Source organism: Homo sapiens, chromosome 6, assembly GCF_000001405.40.
Source record: "Homo sapiens chromosome 6, GRCh38.p14 Primary Assembly".
NCBI lineage: Eukaryota > Metazoa > Chordata > Mammalia > Primates > Hominidae > Homo > Homo sapiens.
In genome coordinates this window covers 121,428,690-121,454,121 of record NC_000006.12, presented here as the reverse complement: position 1 = coordinate 121,454,121, position 25,432 = coordinate 121,428,690, and the positions used below count along the sequence as shown (strand labels likewise).

At 39.7% G+C, this 25,432-nt stretch overlaps 1 protein-coding gene and 2 pseudogenes across 1 annotated transcript, besides 5 other annotated features; 1 reads left to right on the top strand and 2 right to left on the bottom strand.

Annotated features, from left to right (window-relative positions):
- On the top strand, positions 1-141 carry RNU4-35P (RNA, U4 small nuclear 35, pseudogene; annotated as a pseudogene).
- Positions 4,395-18,476, bottom strand: GJA1 (gap junction protein alpha 1). Its single transcript, NM_000165.5, has 2 exons — positions 18,290-18,476; positions 4,395-7,290 (listed from the first exon to the last, which is right to left on the bottom strand). The coding sequence occupies exon 2, from the start codon at positions 7,272-7,274 to the stop codon at positions 6,126-6,128; it is 1,149 nt and encodes a 382-aa protein (NP_000156.1). The 5' UTR covers positions 7,275-7,290; positions 18,290-18,476; the 3' UTR covers positions 4,395-6,125.
- Positions 5,953-6,453: an enhancer, noted in NCBI's record as "H3K4me1 hESC enhancer chr6:121768815-121769315 (GRCh37/hg19 assembly coordinates)". NCBI's record gives its function as "activates a minimal SCP1, AML or CMV promoter by ChIP-STARR-seq in primed H9 embryonic stem cells {active_cell/tissue: H9 hESC(primed)}" and the evidence as "EXISTENCE:reporter gene assay evidence [ECO:0000049][PMID:30033119]".
- Positions 6,454-6,954: an enhancer, noted in NCBI's record as "H3K4me1 hESC enhancer chr6:121768314-121768814 (GRCh37/hg19 assembly coordinates)". NCBI's record gives its function as "activates a minimal SCP1, AML or CMV promoter by ChIP-STARR-seq in primed H9 embryonic stem cells {active_cell/tissue: H9 hESC(primed)}" and the evidence as "EXISTENCE:reporter gene assay evidence [ECO:0000049][PMID:30033119]".
- LOC124901515 (uncharacterized) lies at positions 10,429-10,505 on the bottom strand (annotated as a pseudogene).
- Positions 15,339-16,216: an enhancer, noted in NCBI's record as "OCT4-NANOG-H3K27ac-H3K4me1 hESC enhancer chr6:121759052-121759929 (GRCh37/hg19 assembly coordinates)". NCBI's record gives its function as "activates a minimal SCP1, AML or CMV promoter by ChIP-STARR-seq in primed H9 embryonic stem cells {active_cell/tissue: H9 hESC(primed)}" and the evidence as "EXISTENCE:reporter gene assay evidence [ECO:0000049][PMID:30033119]".
- Positions 22,506-23,488: an enhancer, noted in NCBI's record as "OCT4-NANOG-H3K27ac-H3K4me1 hESC enhancer chr6:121751780-121752762 (GRCh37/hg19 assembly coordinates)". NCBI's record gives its function as "activates a minimal SCP1, AML or CMV promoter by ChIP-STARR-seq in primed H9 embryonic stem cells {active_cell/tissue: H9 hESC(primed)}" and the evidence as "EXISTENCE:reporter gene assay evidence [ECO:0000049][PMID:30033119]".
- Positions 24,994-25,163: an enhancer, noted in NCBI's record as "experimental_89339 CRE fragment used in MPRA reporter constructs". NCBI's record gives its function as "activates a minimal promoter by MPRAs in K562 erythroleukemia cells, with activity observed for the non-introgressed 6:121750190 variant allele {active_cell/tissue: K562}" and the evidence as "EXISTENCE:reporter gene assay evidence [ECO:0000049][PMID:34662402]".

Sequence of the window (25,432 nt, the reverse complement as noted above, 5' to 3'; positions counted from 1 at the left end):
GGCTTTGCACAGTGGCATGATCGTAGTCAATGAGGTTTATCCAGGGTGCGATTACTGCTAATTGAAAATTTTTCCCAATACTCCACCATGATGACCAGAAATATAGTTGGCATTGACAATTTTTGACAGTCTCTGCAGAGGCTGAACAAAAAAATAAATAAAAAATAAAAATAAAATTGGTTTGATAGGGTCACTCACACCTGTAATCCCAGCACATTGGAATGTCAAGGTGGGAGATCGCTGGAGGCCAGAGTTGGAGACCAGCCTGGGCAACCAAGGAAGACTCAGCCTCTACAAAAAAGAAAATTAAAAATTACCACTAGAGTGCATTGGTGCCACCTGCTCAGTAATCCCACCTACTCAGGAGGCTGACTCAGGACGATCCCTTGAGTCCAGGAGTTCGAGGCTACAGTGAGCTGTGATTGCACCTTAGCTGTGATTGCACTCCAGCCTGAGTGACAATGTGAGACCCAGTCTCTAAATAAAAAATAAGATAAAATAACACTTAGGGTTTCTGCTAATGTAGCCTCTAGAAACTATTTTACTGTCTTTACTAATTCTGATGAACGGTTTTGTAAAGAGTAACTGACTGACAAAAGACTCCAGCATGAAAGCCAGATCAGGCTCCATTTTGTTCCATATGCATAGGGACAGATGACACATTGCATTCAATAAGACTTGGGCATAGGGTTTACCTTCTAAAGTCGGTGCCTCATGAGACTGTTTTTATATTCAACAGGAAAGTGTGTGGGCATTGAAATTACACTACACGTCATAACCCAAATAAGCATTTAGTCATTGCAAGGAAACATCCGGAGACCAGAAGAAATAATCCGAATTAAAATTTCAACACTTTTGAAGACCAAGAAACTAATGCATAATTTCCCTCCTTAATGTTAAAAGAAATTAGCTTTCTTCTCTATACAATAGTCTTCTTTTTTCTGGTCTTCTTGAAGCAGTGTTTCTGTGGTATTTCTTCCACGTCTCCTCTTCAGTTCTGAAAATTGCCAGCTGCCAATTCTGACATGCCAAGGGCTAAGCTATATTTGCCCAACCAAGAAAAGGTAAAAACAGAATCTTGGAGCCGGTAAAGATTAGAAACATTTTTCTACACTGTTGGTGTGCTGTTTATAAAAAGAACTTACTTTCAGACTTTAATAAGTCCCCAAACTTCATTATTTTGCTCTCCCTCCAAGTACAAAGCACAGATGTTTTGGCATGTTGGAATCCGAAGTTTGGAATTTTTAGAAGAGGCCACGTGTGGGCAGAGAACTAGCACCCTAGGCAAATTGAGAGGTTCAGCCATTTTCATAAAATAAAGTAAAAAACCAGCTCTTGGCCTGGAAGTTTCTTTTTTCTTTCTTTCTTTTTTTTTTTTTTTTTTTTGAGACTGAGTCTCACTCTGTCACCCAGGCTGGAGTGCAGTGGTGTGTTCTCAGCTCACTGCAACATCTGCCTCCAGGGTTTAAGTGATTCTCATGTCTCGGCCTCCTAAGTAGCTGGGATCACAGGTGTGTGCCACCATGCCAGGCTAATTTTTGTATTTTTAGTAGAGATGGGGTTTTACTATGTTGGCCAGGATGGTCTCGAACTCCGGACCTCAAGTTATCCACCTGCCTCAGCCTCCCAAAGTTGCTGGGATGACAGGCATGAGTCAACACACCCGGCTCAAATTTTTTAAACTTAAAATTTTATGCAAAAACTGAGTGTCAAATAAATATTTGCAGAATAAAACTGCATACCTTTCTAATACTTTTTAAACACAGTTCAATTTACTTTTTAGTAGGTAAAACCAGGCAGGCAGCCAATTAAGATGAAAAAAGGAAAATTTTTTTAAAACTGGAAGAATTTGTTGGGCGCGGAGGCTCACACCTGTAATCCTAGCATTTTGGGAGGCCGAGGCGGGCGGGTCACCTGTGATGGGGAGTTCGAGACTAGCCTGACCAACATGGAGAAACTCTGTCTCTACTAAAAATACAAAATTAGCCAGGTGTGGTGGCGGGCACCTGTAATCCCAGCTACTTGGGAGGCTGAGGCAGGAGAATCACTTGAACCTGGGAGGTGGAGGTTGCGGTGAGACAAGATTGTGCCATTGCACTCCAGCCTTAGCAACAAGAGTGAAACTCCGTCTCAAAAAAATAAAAAATAAAACTGGAAGAATTCACATTATAAGCTTCATGGGAGTGAAAGCTGTGGTCATTCTATGAATCCCCACTGCTTAACAAAGTGCCCGATACTTAGTTGATGTCTAAAATTTTTAACAGTGATTTCTGCTGAGAATTAGGACTTTTCTGGTGTGTATGTTGAGGTATAGAAAGAGGTGAGATACCTAACTCTCCATTGTAGATTGTAGTTCCTTAAGCTGTGTACATATATGATATGTATAATATAGATATATATATGAGATGTACATAAAATATTTTAAAATGGTAAAATCTTAAAGTTGGGAAATGTTTAGGATGACCTATATGACTATTTCTGAAAGATGAACTTGCTTTCCCTCCTCCATATACATGCATCAGAAATTTATTTTATACTTCTGCCCTACCACTTGTCTTATCATTTGTCCATCCACATCTTACCCTATATAAATACACACATACACTCAAATCATGTCTATTCCCCATATTAAATGCAAACATGCACAGACACATAGTGGGAGGTGAGTGCAGAGCATTTGCCTCTTCCATATAATTCTCAACCACTCAAGTAATAGTACTTGAAGAAGTATTCACACTACCAATTATATCAAATTGACTGGGAAACTGGCTTTTAGATAATCCTCTGACTTTAAACAAATGACACAATCTTTTTTCATCCAAAAACAAATTATAAAGGAGCAACTGAACAGAACTAAGCACCTTTTTTTTTTTTTGAGACGGAGTCTCGCTCTGTCGCCCAGGCTGGAGTGCAGTGGCGCGATCTCGGCTCACTGCAAGCTCCGCCTCCTGGTTTCACGCCATTCTCCTGCCTCAGCCTCCCAAGTAGCTGGGACAACAGGCATATGCCACCACGCCTGGCTAATTTTTTTTTGTATTTTTAGTAGAGACAGGGTTTCACCGTGTTAGCCAGGATGGTCTCGATCTCCTGACCTCGTGATCCACCCGCCTCGGCCTCCCAAAGTGCTGGGATTACAGGCCTGAGCCACTGCGCCCGGCGTAGATTACTTCTAAATTACTGATATTTTCTGCTCCAGTAACTCACCAGTTTGCTTTGTGGTGGATAATAGATGTTAATGTAAATAATTTTAATAAGTTATAACAGAAAACATCCTTGAAGTGTGACTTCAAGTGTCAATTTTATATTTAAAACTACAACAATATTATCAATTGCCCAGAATTGTTCTACTCCCTTTGAATGGTTGTTTTTCTTCGGTATCTTGAATTTTTTAAACCTTGTTTTCTGTATTTTTACACAATATTGTGTACTGAAATTAAGATGAATTTTATTCTTTTGCTGCTTCACGTAACTATACTCAAACTGACCCCATTATTATTCTTGTTTCTCCAGGAGGCTTTCCAACTTTAAAATTTCATCATCATTAAGATTTTGTGCTTATTCGTGTCATGTCTGATCTACTAAATTACTATTTCCTTTTTTTTTTTCTTTAGACGGAGTTTCGCTCTTGTTGCCCGTGCTGGAGTGCTATGGGGCGATCTCGGCTCATTGCAACCTCCGCCTCCCGAGTAGCTGGGATTACAGGCATATGCCACTATGCCCAGCTAATTTTGTATTTTTGGTAGAGACAGGGTTTCTCCATGTTGGTCAGGCTGGTCTGGAACTCCCAACGTCTGGTGATCCACCCACCTCGGCCTCCCAAAGTGCTGGGATTACGGACTCAATATTTCCTTATTTCAAACTCTATCACACATCCCATTAAAGATATATTTCAAATTCAACACTTTATCTTCCTTTTGGTTCAATAAATATCCAAAAATGTTTACAATTTATGTTGCACTGAACAGAGCTAATGATAAATATTGTCCCTGAAAACATGACTGTTATTTGCTGAAGTTCTGATAACCAATAGAAATGTGTTTAAATAATCTCAAATAGATGCCGTCAATGAGTTTTAAATATAGGCCAGGTGCGGTGGCTCACCCCTGTAATCCCAACACTTTGGGAGGCTGAGGTGGGCGGATCACGAGGTCAGGAGTTCCAGACCAGCCTGGCCAACATGGTGAAACCCCATCTCTACTAAAAATACAAAAATTAGCCAGGTGCGGTGGCGGTGCCTGTAATCCCAGCTATTCGGGAGGGTGAGGCAGGAGAATTGCTTGAACCCGGGAGGCAAGGGTTGCAGTGAGACGAGATCGCGCCACTGCACTCCAGCCTGGGTGACAGAGCAAGACTCCATCTCGGCAGGGGAAACAAATCACACGGAATATAGAAGCTATGTTTATACTAAATTAAAACTTTATTGAATAAAGAACACTCTCCAGAACACATGATCTGATGGACTAGGTCTACATTACATGCAATGAAGCTGAACATGACCGTAGTTTAACATGGAATGTCAAACAAATTAGTAATTTTCATTGTACAAAACTGTTTATGTAGCTGACATGCATGCAAGAAGAAAAGTGTCATACTCAGCATTTTCACCAATCTTCTGTGATGAGTTTTAAAAAAGGCATTTGGAGAAACTGGTAGATGTCTTCAACATATAGTTCAAATAAATTAGTTGTATGTGTACTACTGAATCCTCTTTCAACCTCTCTTGCATTCCAAATAAAATCTTAGTGCAAACATCAAAGTTGCTGGTCACTCCAAAAGACTGCTAAACTCATAATAGAATACAAGTTCTGAATTACTGTGTATTAAGTAGGAAAACCCAAGAATACCAGTTACTGCAAAATTCATTTAGGCACATTTAATAGTCCACTCTAAGCATTTTTTCTAAGTCTCTCACATTAATGACTAAAGCCTGTTTACAGTACTAAAATTCTATCATTCAAGCATCAATGATTACATTTCAGAAAAAGGAAATTCATTTCAGTAATAGCATTACTGCTATATCCTAAAAAAAGGAGAGAAAATAAAGAATCATAATTAACAAAACCAGTATCCATAATAGGATACACAGGGAAAAACATTTTAGGAGAAAAAAAAAGTGTGCTTTACTTGCCACAGCAGGAATTATATAATGTAAACACCATATTGGCCCACACCACAAAAATCCATGAGAAAGGTTCAAATTTGAACACCATATGTGCATTATTTTCAAATCTGTGTTTGTGAGTTTATACTGTATCTGCTTGTACCAATACATGACAAACAAAACAAACTCTTCGACACACATATAAGTGATTGTTAAATATTAAGCATGGCTTGATTCCCTGACTTTAGCTCAAAAAAAAAATGTTAAGTGACATCCCAACTGTCTTAAAAATGTTTACAGAAACCATTAAATGAATGTGAGTAGTAGCTGAGGAATGATGAAAAAGTGATGGTAATGATATTGTGCAAGTGGATGGAAAAAGAATATACGTATTTGCAAATGCATGGAAAATCTTATTCTGTGGGCCTTGTCTGAATTTTAAACTGATACCAAGAATAAAAAAATATAGTAGCACAAGTCCATTGACACCTGGAGGGTCAGGCCTAGAAAGCTTACCTTCAAAGTGCAAATTTTAACAATGGAATGTTTTAGCAGGGACTTAAGGACAATCCTCTGTCTTTTTCTTGTTGAAAAGACCTAAGATGTTCAGGAAGTATTTATTCCTGGCCAGAATTATTTCAGTTTCTTGGTAAAACAAAAATATTTAGCCACAATTACCACCCGCTCATTCACATACACAGAACCATTCTTAGGGGTGTTTGCGGGGAGAAAAAGCCCTTATCTATGTATCACCTAATGGAACTCTTATTTATAATCTAAGTTCTTTGAATCCACTACTTTAAATACCAACATGCACCTCTCTTATCCCCTCCCTCTCCACCCATCTACCCCATACACCCCCAGTGAACCTAGGTATTCTAATGTCTTTGTGTTTTCTAAGCCTCATGAATAAGGCTGTTGAGTACCACCTCCACCGGATCAAAATTAACACCTGGTGCACTTTCTACAGCACCTTTTTTCTTCTCCACAATTGAGTGGAATCTTGATGCTTTCAAGCCTGTATCTAGATCTCCAGGTCATCAGGCCGAGGTCTGCTGCTGGCACGACTGCTGGCTCTGCTTGAAGGTCGCTGGTCCACAATGGCTAGTGGCTGTAATTCATGTCCAGCAGCTAGTTTTTTAGAATTCTGGTTATCATCGGGGAAATCAAAAGGCTGTGCATGGGAGTTAGAGATGGTGCTTCCCGCCTGCCCCATTCGATTTTGTTCTGCACTGTAATTAGCCCAGTTTTGCTCACTTGCTTGCTTGTTGTAATTGCGGCAAGAAGAATTGTTTCTGTCGCCAGTAACCAGCTTGTACCCAGGAGGAGACATAGGCGAGAGGGGAGCGGTTGGTGAGGAGCAGCCATTGAAATAAGCATATTTTTGAGACCCACAGTCTTTGGCAGGGCTCAGCGCACCACTGGTCGCATGGTAAGGGTCGCTCTTTCCCTTAACCCGATCCTTAACGCCCTTGAAGAAAACATAGAAGAGTTCAATGATATTCAAGGCCAGGGACACCAAGGACACCACCAGCATGAAGATGATGAAGATGGTTTTCTCCGTGGGGCGAGAGAGGAAACAGTCCACCTGATGTGGGCAGGGATCTCTTTTGCAAGTGTAAACAGCACTCAAGCTGAATCCATAGATGTACCACTGGATCAGCAAGAAGGCCACCTCAAAGATAGACTTGAAGAGGATACTGATGATGTAGGTTCGCAGCAACCCCCCTCGCATTTTCACCTTACCATGCTCTTCAATACCGTACTTGAACTTCTTTATCTCAATCTGCTTCAAGTGCATGTCCACATTGACACCATCAGTTTGGGCAACCTTGAGTTCTTCCTCTTTCTTGTTCAGTTTCTCTTCCTTTCGCATCACATAGAACACATGAGCCAGGTACAAGAGTGTGGGTACAGACACAAATATGATCTGCAGGACCCAGAAGCGCACATGAGAGATTGGGAAAGACTTGTCATAGCAGACATTTTCACAACCAGGTTGCTGAGTGTTACAACGAAAGGCAGACTGCTCATCTCCCCAGGCTGACTCAACCGCTGTCCCCAGCAGCAGGATTCGGAAAATGAAAAGTACTGACAGCCACACCTTCCCTCCAGCAGTTGAGTAGGCTTGAACCTTGTCAAGGAGTTTGCCTAAGGCGCTCCAGTCACCCATGTTGCCTGGGCACCACCTGAAAGAAACAAAGAGACAATTCAAGGATCACAGATTGCAAATTACTAGTTTAACATTTAGTACCTTTCAGGTGATAGTCAAAATACTACCAACGGTTTCACGTATTTCTAACATTCTTTCACAAAAAACCAAGTGCAAACTCTTCCTGTCCCATTTTTGCCAACGAAGAAAAGATCTAACAAGTGTTTTGTTTTGTTTGTTGAGACAAAGTAAGTCTTAGAAGCAACAGATGATGAGTTGCAGTCTTTAACCTGGGAAGGTGTATTGCTTGCTCAACCACTGCCTTGCTGTGTGACTTGAGAAGCCACCTGTGCTAAGCCTCTGCTCCTTTTATTTGTCTGATAAATGAGGACAGTTTTTGCCTGGTAGATCTGTGTTTGCTAAGCAAAATCCTGATGTGTGTTATTCAAAGCATAGGTATCAAGAATCCAGGTAAGAATACCTATAAACACACATCCATAACCTTCTTTCCAAAACCTTAATGCTATTATATATCATTTTATTACTAATTTCACTCTGAAAGATTTTTTTTTTAAGATGGTGTTTCCCTCTTGTTGCCCAGGCTGGAGTGCAATGGCACAATCTCAGCTCACCACAACTTCCGCCTCTTAGGTTCCAGCGATTCTCCTGCCTCAGCCTCCTAAGTAGCTGGGATTACAGGCATGTGCCATCACGCCTGGCTAATTTTGTATTTTTAGTAGAGATGAGGTTTCTCCATGTTGCTCAGGCTGGTCTCGAACTCCTGACCTCAGGTGATCCATCTACCTCAGCCTCCCAAAGTGCTGGGATTACAGGTGTGAGCCACCACGCCTGGCCTCTGGAAGATTTTTCAATGGTATATCAAGTGTAATTTGTGCATACCCTATATTATTGTCATTTACACTTTTCTGTTTCTTTTTTTAGAGATAGGATTTCACTATGTTGCCCAGGCCCCTGGGCTCAAGAAATCCTCCTGCCTTAGCCTCCCAAGCAATGGTGACTATTTTTTTCTTAAGCAGTGACTTATGTAGCTCAGAAGTCAGCCTTCTGTCCAGAGAAAAAGTAGGCTGTATGGAAATATACTCTTTTGCTACAATGTGTCATTATATGTAGTAACCTACTTTGAAAAACAAAGACTAAATACACATCACACTTCATGTAAAAAGTTCATTTTGTCTCAATACTACTCACAGCCTTATTAAAAAACAAACAAACAAAACCTACTTCAGGGTGTTTTCTCCAGCCAGAAAAGATTGGTTTTCATCTTTCATTGTTATATACTTTAAAGTTCCCTTACTGGGCTTTGGACCCTCAGGCTATACATCCCATTTAACTTCTTATCAATATCTAGCTATCTAAAGTCCACGCCTTCTCCATTACTGAGGATAAGAAAAAGATCTGGCCAGGCGTGGTGGCTCACGCCTATAATGCACTCACGCCTATAAGCACTTTGGGAGGCGGGTGGATCATGAGGTCAGGAGATTCAGACCATCCTGGCTAACATGGTGAAACCCCGTCTCTACAAAAAATACAAGAAATTAGCCAGGTGTGGTGGTGGGAGCCTGTAGTCCCAGCTACTCGGGAGGCTAAGGCAAGAGAATCGCTTGAACCCGGGAGGCGGAGCTTGCAGAGATCACGCCACTGCACTCCAGCCTGGGTGACAAAGAGAGACTCCGTCTCACTAAAAAGATGTAAGTCAGTAGAAACCAACAAGAATCCCCAAAGTTGTCTAGTTCAATTTATGCTTCTAATTGCCGATTATCCATTTAGCTGATAAAAATTGAGGTTCTCAGAGGTTCTCAGGGTATAGGAAATATTTAGCTATAGACAGAGCCAGAAGAAGATTCACAATCCCCGGGCAAGTCTTTTCAATGCCTCACACTGGTTTTAAAAGTACAGTAAGGCTGCGCTAAAGCTAGAAATGTTTCCAGGCTTTGATATACACAACCTTAGCCAGGGCTGAAAGCTGGGAAGAAGTGAGTAACATGATGTGGCAGGCATAGGGAATATAGGCTAATTTTCAGCACATAGTAGTAATTGGAGGATTTAGAAAAGGACAAATTAGTCAAAGATTGTTTAATAATTAAAAACAAGCAAAGCTAAGACTTTGCAGGAGCTTAGTAATGAATTCTAAATAGAGTATCTAAAGGTAGGATTATTTAGGCTTCTTAGAAATATGTTCACTATCTGAATATAAAGGAGTTTCTCTTCTGGTGTTGAACTATTGAGCTGTATCTCCTTGTAGGAAGTAAATGAAATCCAGGGGAGTCTTCTTCCTCAGTAAGCAACATTACATTTCTGTCTAATGACTGCATCTTCTGGCCATAGAGAACAAGAAAAAATGAAATGGGCACCTGACCTGGGATTTCCTGGACCGAACAAAGAAGAGATGGCTGAGCCATAAAGCTAAACTATGCACCAGCTAGATGGTACCACGGTATCATGGGTACATTTGATGACAGCCCAGGGACTAGTGCCAAAGAATGCTGAGTAAGAGTGGGAGGTGGGTGTGAAGGCCACAGAAATAACACTCCCCCAGTGGTCATAAGAAAGGGAGCTTCCCTTTTACTTAGGAAGGGTCATTTTAGATTCTGAAGTGACAAGTTAGGAAGTGAAATTGATGTATGAAAACAGCATCAATTTAAAACAGCAGTCAAATAAGAACAAAGGCTTGAAAGGCTGACAAAGACAGTTGAATAGCCAAGGAAAGGCTTGAAGTGAGGGAGTAATTTAGCCGTGATGGACAGTTTGATGGTGAGAGAATGTGAAAGAAAAAAAAACCCTACAATTTAGCAGAAAATACTAGACTGGAAATGAAGAAGTATAGTCCATGAGGGTCAGACAAACAGAATCTTTGGAGCTATATCAATAGACAGTTTCTATGTGATGATGTGTAAAATTGGCCCTAATTCTGTTTGTAAAAAATTACAGTATTTTGCCAGTGTCATCTGCTTTTGCTCACATATTTCAATTGCTAGGGGAAAAATAACAAAAACAATCAAGTATAAAAAGATAAACTTTGCATACATCTCATCACATTCATGCAACGATAGAGCTGAAGACAAACCTATCATATCTAGAAATATGACCAGGCAGAACAGAAGTTATTTTAGCTAGGATTTCATCATTACTCAAAGTAAAATATGATTGTGTAGATGCTTATAGTAATTCATCACTAAGTTTATTTACATTCTAGTAACAAACTATAGAAATGATCCCTGAAAGTATAGTCTTTATTTACATTCTATAAAAAAATTCATGATACATGACTTTCATATAATTTTGAGATTCTACAAAAACACTCCACAGTTCCATAGTATGTGAACTAAGTCATCAGACAGCTCTTCATTAGTTCTTTTTTAATACTCTAGTAACTTAATTGCAAAGTTGTCTTTTCTTTAAGCACCCATGCAGTTGTCATTTGCATTAATGAGTTATACTCTTTCATCTTAATAAGATACGAATTATCGAATTGGACACCGAGTATCCTGTAACATGTAGCTACCTGTCGATCTCCACTATCATAGATACCATCAAATAATGTTTAATGTGACAGCTGCCCAAAAACAGGTAACAAAAATTGTTCCCTTTTTTTTTGGTAGTTGCTCACTTTGCCATGAATCAAATTTTGGCAACTGGTTGTTCCTCCCTGCTGCACCTTCCCAAACTAGTTTAATATCTTCATTTTTCCAAGTCTTGTATGGTAAGTTAATACCCTCTTATAATAAAAGGGCATAATTATATGTTTACAGAATCCCTGGCATTGATCTACAGACTATAAACTGCACTTTTATTCACCAGGGGGAAACAGGTATATTTCTTATTTGATACATGAGAAGACCAACGCAGCTGGACATATCACATATATTCATGCCTTCACCTCTAGGATACTGAGTTGGTGCTTTATATGTAGACCAAGGTCTGTCTAAGAGGAGTTGTGCAAAGTTCTTGTTAAGAGCAGAGTCTTAGCAGCTGGACCACGCTTTTTGCCGTCTATGCACCATGTTAGATTACATTTCCATTGCTCTTCATGGCCCCCTAGACTGGATGGATGCCCAAAGCTACAGGCACTAAGTGTGACCAGCCTGAGGCTCCTCTGGCCCCTTTCCTGAACTGCATCACAGTCACTTGGCAGCATTTGTTAAAAACATACATTCCTGGTCTTCACCAGTCTGAATGAATCTGAATTTCTGGAGGTGGGGCCTAGGAAGTAAGGTTTTTTTGGTGTTTGTTACTATTCTTGACATTTCTGGCCCTTTCTTGTTCAAAATATTTAGGAGTGGGAGAAATGTCAGGAAAGCAGAAGGAACAGTCTAAAAAATCCAAGGGGCTGAGTACCAGGAGCAGCAGCTCTCTGGGCACCCGGCATTGAGGTCAGCCTTGGCTCCACAGCCCCTTGTCACTCCTTACATCTCCATCTGCAGCTCCCTGAGAGCAGAAGAACTTAAACGCTTTAATTCAAATGAGATCTCTTAAAAATAAAGCTTTGATTTTAAATTACATTTGACTATGCCTTTTGCTAGAGCATGTGCCGAAGTTGCAGTCAAGTCTTTCCATGCCATTAATATACTAATAGTTATTAGAATTAAGTATTTTACTATCGACTTTAAATATTTTTCTCAAGAAGAGACAAATGTAATGAGTTGAGAATGGAGACTTAAATAAAGGTAAATAGGATTATTGAAAACTAAAGTGAAATTTGATATCCAGCATCTTTTTATGATTGAAAGAAAAGAGAAGGTGAAGGACTTTAATATCTGAAAGAATAAAATCAGAGTCTAAACCTACATAAGGAAATGTCTATGGAAGTTCCCGATAAAATCATTTAATGGATTTTTTGGGAGGAAAGGGAAATCATGTGTGTGTCTAATGTACTAACACCCAAAAATATTCATGCCCAAAAACTCAAATGCAAACCCTTGTAATGTTTTCTTTCACTTTTATAATAACCTCTGCCCCTCCAGTAAATGTCATTGAGTGAACTCAGTTGTCTATTCCTCCGCACTTAAAACAGCCACCCTTAGCTTGATCTCAGCCATCATCAGTTTGCTAGGTTTCATGTCATTAGCCTGGTCACCCTACTTGCCAACCTATACTCCGAGTAATCAGTCAATCTTGAGAAAACAAACCAACAATCAGCTTGGTTTGATGAGCTCTGCTCCATCCACGCAGCTCACGTCCTCACTTGTTGCAGGTCTCACCTCATCAGCCAACTTTCCTGACCACCAAATATGAAATAGCAACATCCTTTCCCCAGTCCTGTCATTTCCTATTCCCTTTGCCCTGGTTTTTAAAAAATTATTATTTTAATAGACTTTCTCTCTACTTGATATAGTAAATATTTGCCTGATTACTATGTACCTCCTTCCATGAGAAGGATTTATTATTTGTCTTCCTTAACTGGAATGTGAACAATACGAGGGAGTTTGCTTTGTTCACTGCTGTATCCCCAGTGCTTGAAAGAGTAAGAGATGTGGCTCACACCTGTAATTCCAGCACTTTGGGAGGCCGAGGTGGGAGGATCATCTGAGGTCAAGAGTTTGAGATCAGCCTGGCCAACATAGTGAAATCCCATCTCTACTAAAAACACAAAAAAGTAGACCGGGTGCGGTGGCTTAAGCCTGTAGTCCCAGCACTTTGGGAGGCCGAGGCGGGCGGATCACGAGGTTAGGAGATAGAGACCATCCTGGCTAACACAGTGAAACCCCGTCTCTACTAAAAATAAAAAAAATACAAAAAAATTAGCCGGGCGTGGTGGCGGGCACCTGTAGTCCCAGCTACTCGGGAGGCTGAGGCAGGAGAATGGCGTGAACCCGGGAGGCGGAGCTTGCAGTGAGCCGGGATCGCGCCACTGCACTCCAGCCTGGGCGACAGAGCGAGACTCCGTCTCAAAGAAAAAAACGACAAACAACAACAACAACAACAACAACAACAACAAAAAAGTAGCCAGGCGTGGTGGCGGGTGCCTGTAATCCCAGCTACTCTGGAGGCTGAGGCAGGAGAATTGCTTGAACCCGGGAGGCGGAGGCTGCAGTGAGCAGAGATCACACCACTGCACTCCAACCCGGGTGATAGAGTGAAACTCCGTCTCAAAAAAAGAAAAGAAAAGAAAAGAATTAATTAATTGGGGTATAGCTACATGTTAAATGAATTAAATGGGGCTTCCACAAAAAATAGAAAGATACTGTGCAAAAAAAAAAAAAAAGTTTGTTTTTTTCTGTCTCTTTGGGATTCTCTTAATTGTAGTTATATCTCAAATTTCTAAAGTTTCAAATTAATTAAAAAGGAAACTTCACAGTAAAAAACTATTGTCATCATCTCATTCTCATACTGTTAAATTTTCAAGTGACAATTGCTGAAACAGAGAACTGTTTGTTGAAACAACATGCTTCAAATGATTCCTGAGCAGGCAAAAGAGCTAAATTAAGAAAAAAGGCTCTTTGCAACCCCCACTGCTAAATTTGACAGGCTTAAAAGAAAAAAGAAAAAAGGCTTTTTAACAAAGAGCTTCCTGAATTTGTTAAATGAGATCCTAATGAGGGTTAGGATTCTTGTAGAACTGCATCAGGTATCATGCTTGTACATTCAGTTCACTGTTAGGTTGTTGCAGGTTAAGATTTAAAACACAAAACAAAAAAAAAAAGGAAAAAACACAACTGTGTGGTTGTCCCCTAGTTCTACGATGTTCTAACTCCGATTGCACCACACAATTTTATTGTAGACAAGGACACTATTACAAGAAGAAATAGCCTGTTTAAAATCGTGTTTATTTCAAGAATGATAAATATCGGGGAAGGCTAGGGCTCTGAAGGGGAAGAGCAGCAGTTGATATTAACCCTGGTTAATGTAACATCTTTACAGTCTGAGTCTATGCAGGCACTAAAGTGATTAGATTCAAGTACCATGGAAAAGATTCCCAGTTCATCAGATAATACCCAACCTTTACTTCCTTATTTATACCTAGATGGCCTAACTATAGTGTATCAAACTTACTGTATGTAAAAATATATTTATAAATAATTGCACATTTGTGTAGGTATTTGATGTTGTGAACTGCTTATTTTGGGGGCAGAGGGGAGGACAACATAAAAACACCAACAAGCCTTCCTTCCCCAGCTCTTACCCCTCCTCATCACTGAACTTACATTAGCATCCACTTAATGAGATGAGATGGGAATTGAGGTGTGAGGAACTCCATCCAAAGAGAGGATGGTGCATCCCATAAAAGACAATCCTCTCCCTAGTTCAACAGCTACTACTCAATTCTCCCCCAAAACAAGTTTCTCAAGATCAATTTAGGGCTACCAGAGAGAAAATCCCAAGTCAGAAGCTGAGGCTAAAAGCCATGTTCTTCAATTGTGATGTAACTTAATATATTTCTATCAGTCCTTGGCGTTTCCTCTGCCCCTACTCTTACTTCCACCTCCAAATTGACTATTTTTAGTGAATAGCCTTGTTATTTTATAATCATATAAAGACACCCTTAGGGCCCTCACAAGTGTATTGATTAAGATAGTCTATTTTTTTCAATGAGAATTTAATAAATAACTCATGCATGTGATGCTCTTAGTAACAGCTCAGTAAAGTTTGGTTCTTACTCTTTAGACGACCTTTAGATATAGCTCATTTGGTTTTAAATTTTTCATCTTTTCTTTAGCAAAACAGCAACTAAGAAATGATTGACAAACATACATTTTCTTTTTAAAATTTTTTTTTATAGAGGTGGGGTCTTGCTATGTTGCTCAGGCTGGTTTTAAACTCCTGGCCCCAAGCGATCCTCCCACCTCAGCCTCTCAAAGGGCTAGGATTACAGGCATGAGCCATCATGCCCAGCTGACGATAAACATATATTTTTCTTAAAATATTATTTTAAAAGCATAGGGAAATTGGAATGTGAAATTTATGAAATTGTATAAGCCACTGATGTATTAAAAAAAAAGAGCTAACCACAGTTTGAAAATAGGTAAAAGACAATCTGTACATACATAGTTAAAAGGTGACTTTAGATGGAGGTTTAGACAATTATGCTAAGAATTTAAAAAATATATACATTAATCTCCCATGGAAGAGATGCTCTGGAGATTTTTTAAAACTTGAATTATCCATACAGAATATTACATTAATAATAAACACTAGATAATTACTTTTTCTCTCCAGAGTTGAACTGGTGTGTGCGGATAAGCTCCCACACATCTCTTCAAATAACTGAGAATCCTGAAGATAAGTCAGAACAACAGGAAAGGCGGAGTGGAAGGTATTAATCACTGGTGACTGTCCTATCATTCCCTTCCCTGCGGGTATCATATATAAAGGCTCAAACCAAGCTACACCCCTGGATGTAGAGAAAAGAAAAGAAAGAATGCACCCCGTGTTTTCCCTCCTTCTCTATGCAGGAATTGGAAACATCTAAGTAACAAAGCAACCTTCAGTATCTGAAAGCACAGCCTTTTATCTGCCTCCTGCGGAGCATCTTTGCAACCATGTTTCCCAAGGAGGGTGACAGCATTGTTGGTATCACAGTCGCCAAGGGTGAGGAACTCAGTGGCTGGGTTGAGAACCCTCAGAAGGCATTAGAAAAATGTGGAACATGTTTAAACAGTGAAGAAAGTAGGAGCAAAGCACTAACACTGCATTTTCCCAGGTAACCAGTCTACCCTGACTTTGGGAAGTACAAAGCACCCCCACACTGGGGGAACAATGTTCTAATAATATAGAATCAACATCGCCAGGACGGAATGGAATGTACTGCCTTTGCTTGGTATAATTTCCAGTCAATTCGGCCTACCCAGAAGTAATTAGTCTTCTCCCAAAAGTGTTTTCTGTCTAACTGGCTTATTTCATTCCTGGCGCGGGGGGGAGGGGAGCGCTCGCTTAATGAAATCTCTGCATTACTAGACGCTTTAATTTCCAGTTATCCTTGCACAAAAGTAAACATTAGGCTTCCTCACAGGGACACTTTTCACCGAGTTCAAATGCGCCCGATTTTCGGAGGGCGATATTCAGTATCTTTCTTGTCGTTACTAACTGGGTCGAGGAAGCAAAAGAAATTCAACCGTCTTCCAAATAAAGCCACGCTTCTTTTTACAACATTGTGTAGCTCTCCCCTTCCCACCCCTACTTTGTACCTGGAGAGAAAGAGAAGCACGCCTTTTGGGAGCAAGGAGAGCTTATCGATGAGCGTTATCAGAAACCCCCAGCAAAGGCTGGCTGGGTCACTAAAGGGGCAGGGTGGGCGCAGCGCTGCTACGACCGTGAGGCGCGCGTCTCGGAAACAGGCTGACTTGCCCCGGACGCGTCATCAGCTTCCCGAGGGTCTCTCCTCCCTGCCCTTTCCCCTTGAGCCGCCCCGCCTCATTCTCGGGAAGTTTCAGGAACTTCCAGGGGAGTTGCAAGTGCAATTTAAGCACAATTCCCAAGGTATTCAGGTTTTCTTACCAACGCGGAGATAGTGGGATTCAGCAAGTTTAAGAGGAAAAAAGAAAAAGAAAAAAAAAAAGGGCTGGTGTGAGAGGGATGGGAAATTAGATTGACAACTTTAATTAAATCAACCATTTGTTCTACCATTTGGCACCCAGCCCATCTCTCCTCCTATCCCTCCCACCCCGCACCCCGGGTTCCTTTGCAGTGACGAACTCGGACCTGAGTTCGATTTGACTTGTGAGGATTTGGGGGAAACGTCCCAAGACCGAGCTGGTTCGGGCAGCGAAGGCGCGGGAAGGATCCCGGCAGACGCTAAGATGGCAGGAGGCGCCCCGCGCCCGTCCGGCCCACGGCCTCCGCAAAGCTTTCATTTTTATTTGCTTTTCAGCATTCACTGGTGCAAATACTTCCACTGCAGGGTCACGTCAAGAATCTAAACTAATTATTTTAGTTTGTAGATTTACACAGAACAGAAAATCTTTACCGGGCACAAAAATGCATGGCTGCATTTCTGATGAACAGAATGGGTGTTACCAATAAAAGTATTTTAAAAATTGAACCCTTTTAAACAACGCATTAGCGTTATCTTTGCCCTAGGAGCTCCAACTCCAAAGAACTGCCCCAGAGTTCTGAATTCTGTTACAGGTTCGAGCAGAGGGAAGGTGCGGGGCGGCGGGTGTTGGCGGGGGGAGCTCCCAAAGCGCTGTTTAAGAAAGTTTTTTTCCTGCTCTTTCTAGGAGCTCCCGTTTTAGGAGACGGTTTTGGAAAAGTACCCTGGCATACACTCTTTTTTAAACGTCTGATCTCTAATGCTCTGTAACTAGCCACCACCCATTCAAGAGATTTCATCTCCTAAACTGCCAACGTGGTCGAGTAAAAGCTGTCTCTCCTGAGGGTCTCAAATCTTTCCATAGCGGTTGCTAACACAAAGTAACAATTTACTGTTGATTTTTAAAGCATAATATTAATACTCTTGAATTTTATACCTTTTTGTTTAATGGGGAAAATTCTAGGAAGGAACCACGTGGAAGTCAAGTAACCACGATGTTTTAACAAAGCACTTCGTCACAAAAGAAGTTGGCTTTGCAAAGCTATAGAACATCAATCAAGATTTCCATATGAAAAAAGCACTTTATTCTATGAAGTGTAGAATACTATAGGAAGCACGCTAAGCAAATTTGCACTTTGATTTTTCCGATGTAGTCAGTCAAATCCCCCAACCCAGGCGCCTAACCGCCCCCCCCCCACCCAACAAATGATAGCACCTAGACTATTACTGATTACAAAAAAAAAACAAAATAAAATGATACTCTAAAATGAAAAACCAAACATCCAGTAAACTAATCCTTTATTCTAATCGGAAAGGTTTGAACCTTTTCACCTGTTGCAATGTTAATAGAAACTTTTTTAACAGTCAAAATATATATTTGGTACAATAAATTTTAACTTTAAAACTATAGAAACACTTTCAAATCCATCAATCCATTTACAGTATCATAATTCAAAATTACATTTAACACATTTTAAAACTTTAGAAAAGTTTTACTTGTAGAAAAAGAAACTAATAGGTAACGTGTTCTCATTTTTTAAAAACTTACTCTTTTGCTTAAAAGTAGTGAAGTCACGCCAAGTGATTGAACTCCTTGGAGGATGAAGTAAAATGAAAAGGCAAGTTCAGGCACTCAGACCTGTCTATTTAAAGTTTAAAACTCCGCTGCTGTTTGGTACTTTCCTCACGCCTTCCCCCTAATGAAAGAAAAGTGCTGATACCTCGTAAAAGCTTTTTTGTAACTTGGAGCACAGAGCTTTTAAAAGTTTCAAGCCACTGACTCAACTGGGAGGAGGGGCTAGAAGAAAGGGGAGGGCAAAGGGAAAGGCTGGGAGGAGGTAGGGAGGAGGCTGGTAAATGTGGAAGGGCTGGGGGGAGAAGAGGCAAAGAGCAGCAGTGGGATCAGGATAAAGTTGTAGTTTAAATTTGCTGATGAGGAAAAATAAAAAAGCATTAGGGACATGAACGCCTCTACTTGGAGTTGCTCCTCACACATAAGAATCATTGATTACACTGCTTGCTTCACCAGAAGACCAGGGATAATGGGGGAAAAAGGTGTATATTTTTATTACAACATTGTCTAAAATTTTTAAAGTAGCTTACAATAAATAAAAATGGTGGGGAAGCATATAACCAGTTCAAGCTTGTTTCACATTGACCAAGGTGTGTGAAGTTAGAGGTAGGTGTGAGTGACCTGTTTGATGATCTAATTCCCTTCCTTTAAATGTAAGCAAGGACAATTAACAAAGGGAATGGTGGAGATGGGAGAGAGATTTCAAAAATTGACATAGATGAAGAAAAGTCCATACCCAATCCATCTTTCAACCCCTTGACTGCTTTGAATTTTTACTTTCTTTCAGTTTAGCAAAAGGCTGTGTGTGTATATACATTTTTTACATATATAGCATGTTTTGTTTGCCTATGAAATCTTGATATCTGACCTCTACCATGTCTCCAGAAAACTAAGAATTTATATTAAGGCCCTATTTATGCCAAGACACTAAAACCCAAATCTGTAGTGAAATGTGAGGATTTTAAAAATACAGACTATGGTTGCATTAAGTAGGTTCCCAAACTATTCAGCCCTCCTTAAAATCAGTTCCCCCTCTCAAGCCCACTAGAGAGTTTTCTGCCCAACGACAGTAAAGCTGAGCATATCATCTTTATGTGCTTCCCTATCCCCTTCCAAATGCTCTCCCTCTTCAGGGCTCTGCATTAGGGTTTATAATGGCCTGAGTCATGTGGCCTCAATCTTAGAGCAGGCAGCTCCTCTGAGGGCTTCCCAAATGCCATAACACAGTGTTGTGGTAGGACAATTCCTCATAAACAGGCTTCAGTGATGCTCCTGAGGTTGGACAGGAAATTTCTTGGCCAGTATTCTCTGGAGGGAAAGCAAACTCATCTGGCCTTCCTATTCCTAACACTTTTCTCACTCAGGCAAATACCAGAAAAAAGAAGGATGCCAAATATATTCTGGTAGACACCGTTCCCTAATTAAACTTTCACTGAAATGACTAATATAACATCTTTTGAAATGTTGCAGGTTTTTTTTTTTCTTTTCTGAGACGGAGTTTCGCTCTTGTTGCCCAAACTAGAGTGCAGTGGCGCCATCTCTGCTCACCGCAACCTCCGCCTTCCGGCTTCAAGTGATTCTCCTGCCTCAGCCTCCTGGGTGGCTGGGATTACAGGCCTCCGCCTCCCAAAGTGCTGGGATCACAGGCGTGAGCCGCCGCGCTGGGCCCAAATGTTGCAATTTTAAGGAACAATTTTGCTTTTACTTGTTGGCTATCCTATTTCCAAGAGTACATTTTTCTTTAAATTAAGAAAGGGGAAAAACAATCTTCTGGAAGTAGAAATTGTAACCTGACTTTCGAGTCTTCAGGTTCAGCAACCTATAAATGTTGTTTTGGTCTTGTATTTATATTGTTCTTTAAATAAATCTATTGTTTTGTCTTAACTAAAAATTATTTCATTGGACTTAGAACATATTCATGAAAATGATTTATTCTTTTTATCGTAAGAAAATACATGTCTTCTTTTCAAAAAAGTATGCTTCATTTAATTTACATAACAATTTATTTTTGTAAAATTATTTATCAACTACAATTATAAAAAACATTACCATGATGCTAATTCAGAATAAGTTACATGAAAGAAAAGTTGTCATTGACTGTTTTATAATAGGATTTTTAAAGCAAAAAAAATTGTGTTTATTTCTGTTATGTTTTGTTAGGTCTATAGATGAATGTTGATGTTTAAATATTCTTGTAAAGTATTCTTTTCTTTTTAATCTATTACCTATGTGACCAATTGGAAATAGAGCTAAAGAACTTCCTTATAACAAGTTAAATTATTCATGGATATCACTTGAACTATTTTCTGAGCCAAAGGAATTACTCATAGCATGAGCCAGTAATTAGTTACTTCTCTTAATACATGAACGTACTATGTCTTTTCTTTCTAAAATCATTTTTCCATGATCATTGATACAAGATCTCAACATGATTTCATGAAAATATCATTGATAAGACATTCTGAAGAAGCTTCTCTTCTTTTGGGATAATGGCACTGAAATGCAATGCTATGAGTAATCATGTGCAAGACAAACTAGGTTTTGCAAAAGGCCCCACAGTTTTCTCTCATGGACAACTAACAGGGTCTCTAAATGACAGGTAGCAACTTCTATTATAACTCATACTCTAGCAGTGTTGGTGAGTTATATTTTTATCAATAGCAAAATTGTTCAAAAGTATCTCACTTATCTGACCTTAGAAGCTTGTCTCCATTGGAATGTTTTGCAAAAATTGTGGAATAGTTTTTTTTTTTTAAATGTGTTTTTCTCATATTCTCAGAAATGTCAATGCCATTTCTTTAATATAAACACTGACTTCCTAGAACTGTGTCTTCTCTGATTGCCAGACCTTGTCTATGTAGAAGAAATGGATGCAGCCTGATTAACACTGCTCTTTGGAGAACTAGAAACAGTTATTTACAGTTTCTGTCTTCTGCAGGGCTTCTTTAGGCCAAATGACCTGCCAGGCCTTTGATTCTGTTTTCTCCATGTAGCTATATATATTTTGCAAAATGCACATTGTTGGCACAATGGAGGGTAAGTTTTTTTCAGAATTGTGAGAAATATTTCTTAATATGAGAACCACCTCCTTTTTTGGATTTTTACCTTTGTTTCAAAATAGGAATTTCTGAAATTTTAAGAAATGAATGGAGTGATTTTTAAGGCCTTTAAATGCCTATCCCACATAAACTCTGATGGATTACTTTCACCTCATTGAGTAGCATAAACGTTAAATAATTGGTGGCTCCGGATTAGACTTGTAAGAAGAGTATTGTAATGGGAGAGCAGTAAGCTATAGGAACTTGAAAGGCAATACTAGCAGAAAGAAAGGAAAGGAAGGTAGAATTACCAGAACTTGATGATGGATGAATGGGAAGACAAGGAAGAGGAGGCTGTGGAAACCGATTTTTGGAGTTTTGATTGGGAAAATGTTACTAACACAAAAAAAGGAAGCTCGGGGAGGGACTGACCTGCTGAAAGAGATACAAAGATTTGTTTGAAATATTTTGGTATGAAGAACTGAAATATCTAGGTAAAGACCGATGACTGACAATTTAAAACAGGAGCTGTGGCGTTCACTTTAAAATTGTTACAGCGGGGCACAGTGGCTCATGCTTGTAATCCCAGCACTTTGGGTGGCCAAGGCGGGCAGATCACCTGAGGTCAGGTGTTCGAGACCAGCCTGACCAACATGGAGAAATCCCGTCTCTACTAAAAATACAAAAATTAGCTGGGCGTGGTGGCACACACCTGTAGTCCCAGCCTCCCGGGAGGCTGAGGCACGAGAGTTGCCTGAACCTGAAAGGTGGAGGTTGCAGTGAGCCAAGATAACACCAATGCACTACAACTGGGCAACAGAGTGAGACTCAGTCTCAAAAAAAAAAAAAATTGTTATAAGATTTGTGATTGGGAAGACACAGTGGTTCAACTCTGTAATCCCAGCACTTGGGAGGCTGAGGTGGGATGACAACTTGAACCCAAGAGTTCAAGACCACCCTGGGCAACATAGGGAGACCCTGTGTCTACAACAAATAAAAAGGTTATTTAGACATAGTGGCAGGCCTCTGTAGTCCCAACTACTCAGGAGGCTGAGGTGAGAGGATCTGAAAAAAAAAAGAAAGAAAAAAAAAAGATTTGTAATTAGAAGCCACAGGTACAGATGAAATTACTAAGAGATGGGATATAGGCAGTGTACCAAAAAGCACACACACAGCCTTGGTGGATTTCCTCATTTAATGCAGACAAAAAGAATGAAAAAAGAGGCAAGGTAACATCTGGGAAAGGGAAAGGTATTTAAAATAGCTACAAGTGGGCTTATTTGTGGGAAAATATTACTTGTGCACTGGAGGAGTAGTTAACTTTGAAAGGACAGCTACTCCGTTAAAAAGAGAATGAGTGCAACATAAAGAAAATGTTTTCAGACAGTATAGGCCGCATGAAACTAGGGTTTGAAGGTATTTTCTCAAAGTAGCTAAGGTTATCAGCTGGCTGAGATGAAAGTAAGTGAAGAAGAATCAGAAAATTTGCAATCCCTCTGGGGCAATTCAAGGCATTTGTAGAAGAATAGAAAGACTATCTGAGACTAGGCGGGTGTAGGTTGATTTTGTAATGAGATAAGATGGCATTATCTTACAGATTTCCTTTCCTTCGCATCAGAATAATCCTTTCTATGCACCAAATTTCCATTTTAACTAACGTTTACCAGACAGCAAGAAAGAAGTAAAAGTTAATTTGGAAGTCATAAGTTTGCAAGTTTAGAAGTGCTCTACCCAAATTGGTAAAACTTGCCAGAAAATGTGTTCTTTATGTGACTGTTGGTCAATTACATCTTTCAGAGCAGTGAAGATTTCTCATCGTATTACCACTTGTGCTGGTATCCCTTTTTCAAAAGATAAGTTTCTGGGGTCCGTCAATTCGCTTCATAACCCTGAAGTATTCAACTTAACTGAGAACGTCTTTCCCATTTACTTAGCATTCTATCATCCTTGAAAAATGTTTAAGGATCAAAGATTGATTTGAGCTGTGTAAAATTTCAACTCATTTTTGTAGCCCACATTTACCTCCAAGCGAATCTTATGTAAACCAAACTACACAAAAAGGTATTTGTAAAGGGAAGAATTTGTTTTGCTTTGTTGAGTGGGAAAGAATTCCAGCCAGTGGATAAATATGTCTTTGGCTCCACCTTCTGTGCAGAGTGAAAATGAACATTGCAAAGAGAAACTGGTAAATCATTTACTATTTCATGTTTATTTGTTTAATTTTACCTTTTCAATGAAGCTTGGTTAATTTTTTATGATCACTTGTGAATTCATTCATTCAGTAAATATTTATTATGCCTCAGGGACTATGGTAGACATTATTATTTTTTAGTTATGCAGTTAATAACAAAGCCAATATCAGAGTTGAACTTCATTCAACTTTAGCCTTTGAGTTTTCTTTAAGGGAATTTTGAAAAAGCAAGCAAACAATGGTAGGAAAACAGAGAAATACTAGTTCGATTCTTTAAAAAAGAAACATGCAGGTCGGGCGCGGTGGCTCACGCCTGTAATCCCAGCACTTTGGGAGGCCGAGGTGGGCGGATCACTTGAGGTCAGGAGTTCGAGACCAGCCTGGACAACATAGTGAAACCTAGTCTCTACTAAAAATTAAAAATGAGCTAGGCATGGTGGTGCATGCCTGTAATCCCAGCTACTCAGGAGGCTGAGGCAGGAGAATCGCTTGAACCCGGGAGGCAGAGGTTGCAGTGAGCCAAGATTGTGCTGCTGCCCTCCAGCCTGGGCCACAGAGTGAGACTCCCTCTCAAAAAAAAAAAAAAAAAAAAAAGAATCCTATCAATAGTATATTCACTTTAAAAAATGATCAGAAGAAAGTCTAGAGGTTTGGAATCTGCAACTCTTGATTTTCCATGTATATTAGTTTTTTTATAGGAAGAGAACTAACAGGTCATTTGTACTGAATGACAGTCTAAAACTAAATCTTGGCTCTTTATGCTAATAATTTTTTTTTGAGATGGAGTTTCGCTCTTGTTCTCCAGGCTGGAGTGCAATGGCATGATCTCGGCTCACTGCAAGCTCCGCCTCCCGGGTTTAAGCGATTCTCCTGCCTCAGCCTCCCCAGTAGCTAGGATTACAGGCGTGTCCCACCACGCCCAGCTAATTTTTGTATTTTTAGTGGAGACCAGGGTTTCACTATGTTGGCCAAGCTAGTCTCCAACTTCTGACCTCATGTGATTCGCCTGCCTCGCCCTCCCAAAGTGCTAGGGATTACAGGCGTGAACCACCGCACCCGGCCTTATGCTAAGAATTTAAATCTTTTGAAGATCATGTAGCAAATAAAGAAATATTTCAATATGTTTATTTTAGGGCAGATAGAATGAATATTATTTATTATCTAAAAATCACTTAGCCAAGTACTAACCTCCTCAAGATGACCACTTGCCATCATTTTATGTTTAGCATTATACTACACGAAGTGGAAACTTGAAAAATATAGAGAACATTTTGCAAGTGGAGGTGATTCCTTATGTGCACATTTTTTATGCAGGCTTTATCCAGAATATGAACAAATGTGTAGTTAAAAATAACAAATGCACGAACAAATTATTTACATACTTGTTGAACTGATGCCAAAGAAAAAGAAAAAAACTTAGCATTGCTTCAAAAGTCAGCTGAGATAAAAATTCCCAAATGAAATATTTACAATGCTTGGTTATAGCACCACTTACCAAAGTCGTTAAAATGCCTTTCTGTTGTATGTCTAAGTCTGCTTTGGTGCACAGGATGAGGTACCTATGGACAACTTTATATAGTACATGTCCTTTATAGACACTAACAAATTTAATACCGTTTTCATTTAGGATAGATAGTGTAAACAACACAATTATCTCTAAGAAATCATGCATCATGGCAATTATAAGTTCTATGTGTATTAGAAACATTTCAGCCCTCATAGCTCTAAGAATGGCAACATTTAGGAACCCTGTTAGATCTCTAAGAGAGCCTTTTGTTTGTTTGTTATTAATAACTGGCAATGAGTAGTACTTTAGTGTCAGATGGTTACTGATTTAAAAGTGAAATCCAAATGTAGTAGGCTTGACGTGTTTGGAAGATTCTAGTGCTA

Excerpts from the sequence above, each read along its gene's own strand:
- GJA1 (NM_000165.5), bottom strand. The coding sequence starts at position 7,274 with ATGGGTGACTGGAGCGCCTTAGGCAAACTCCTTGACAAGGTTCAAGCC.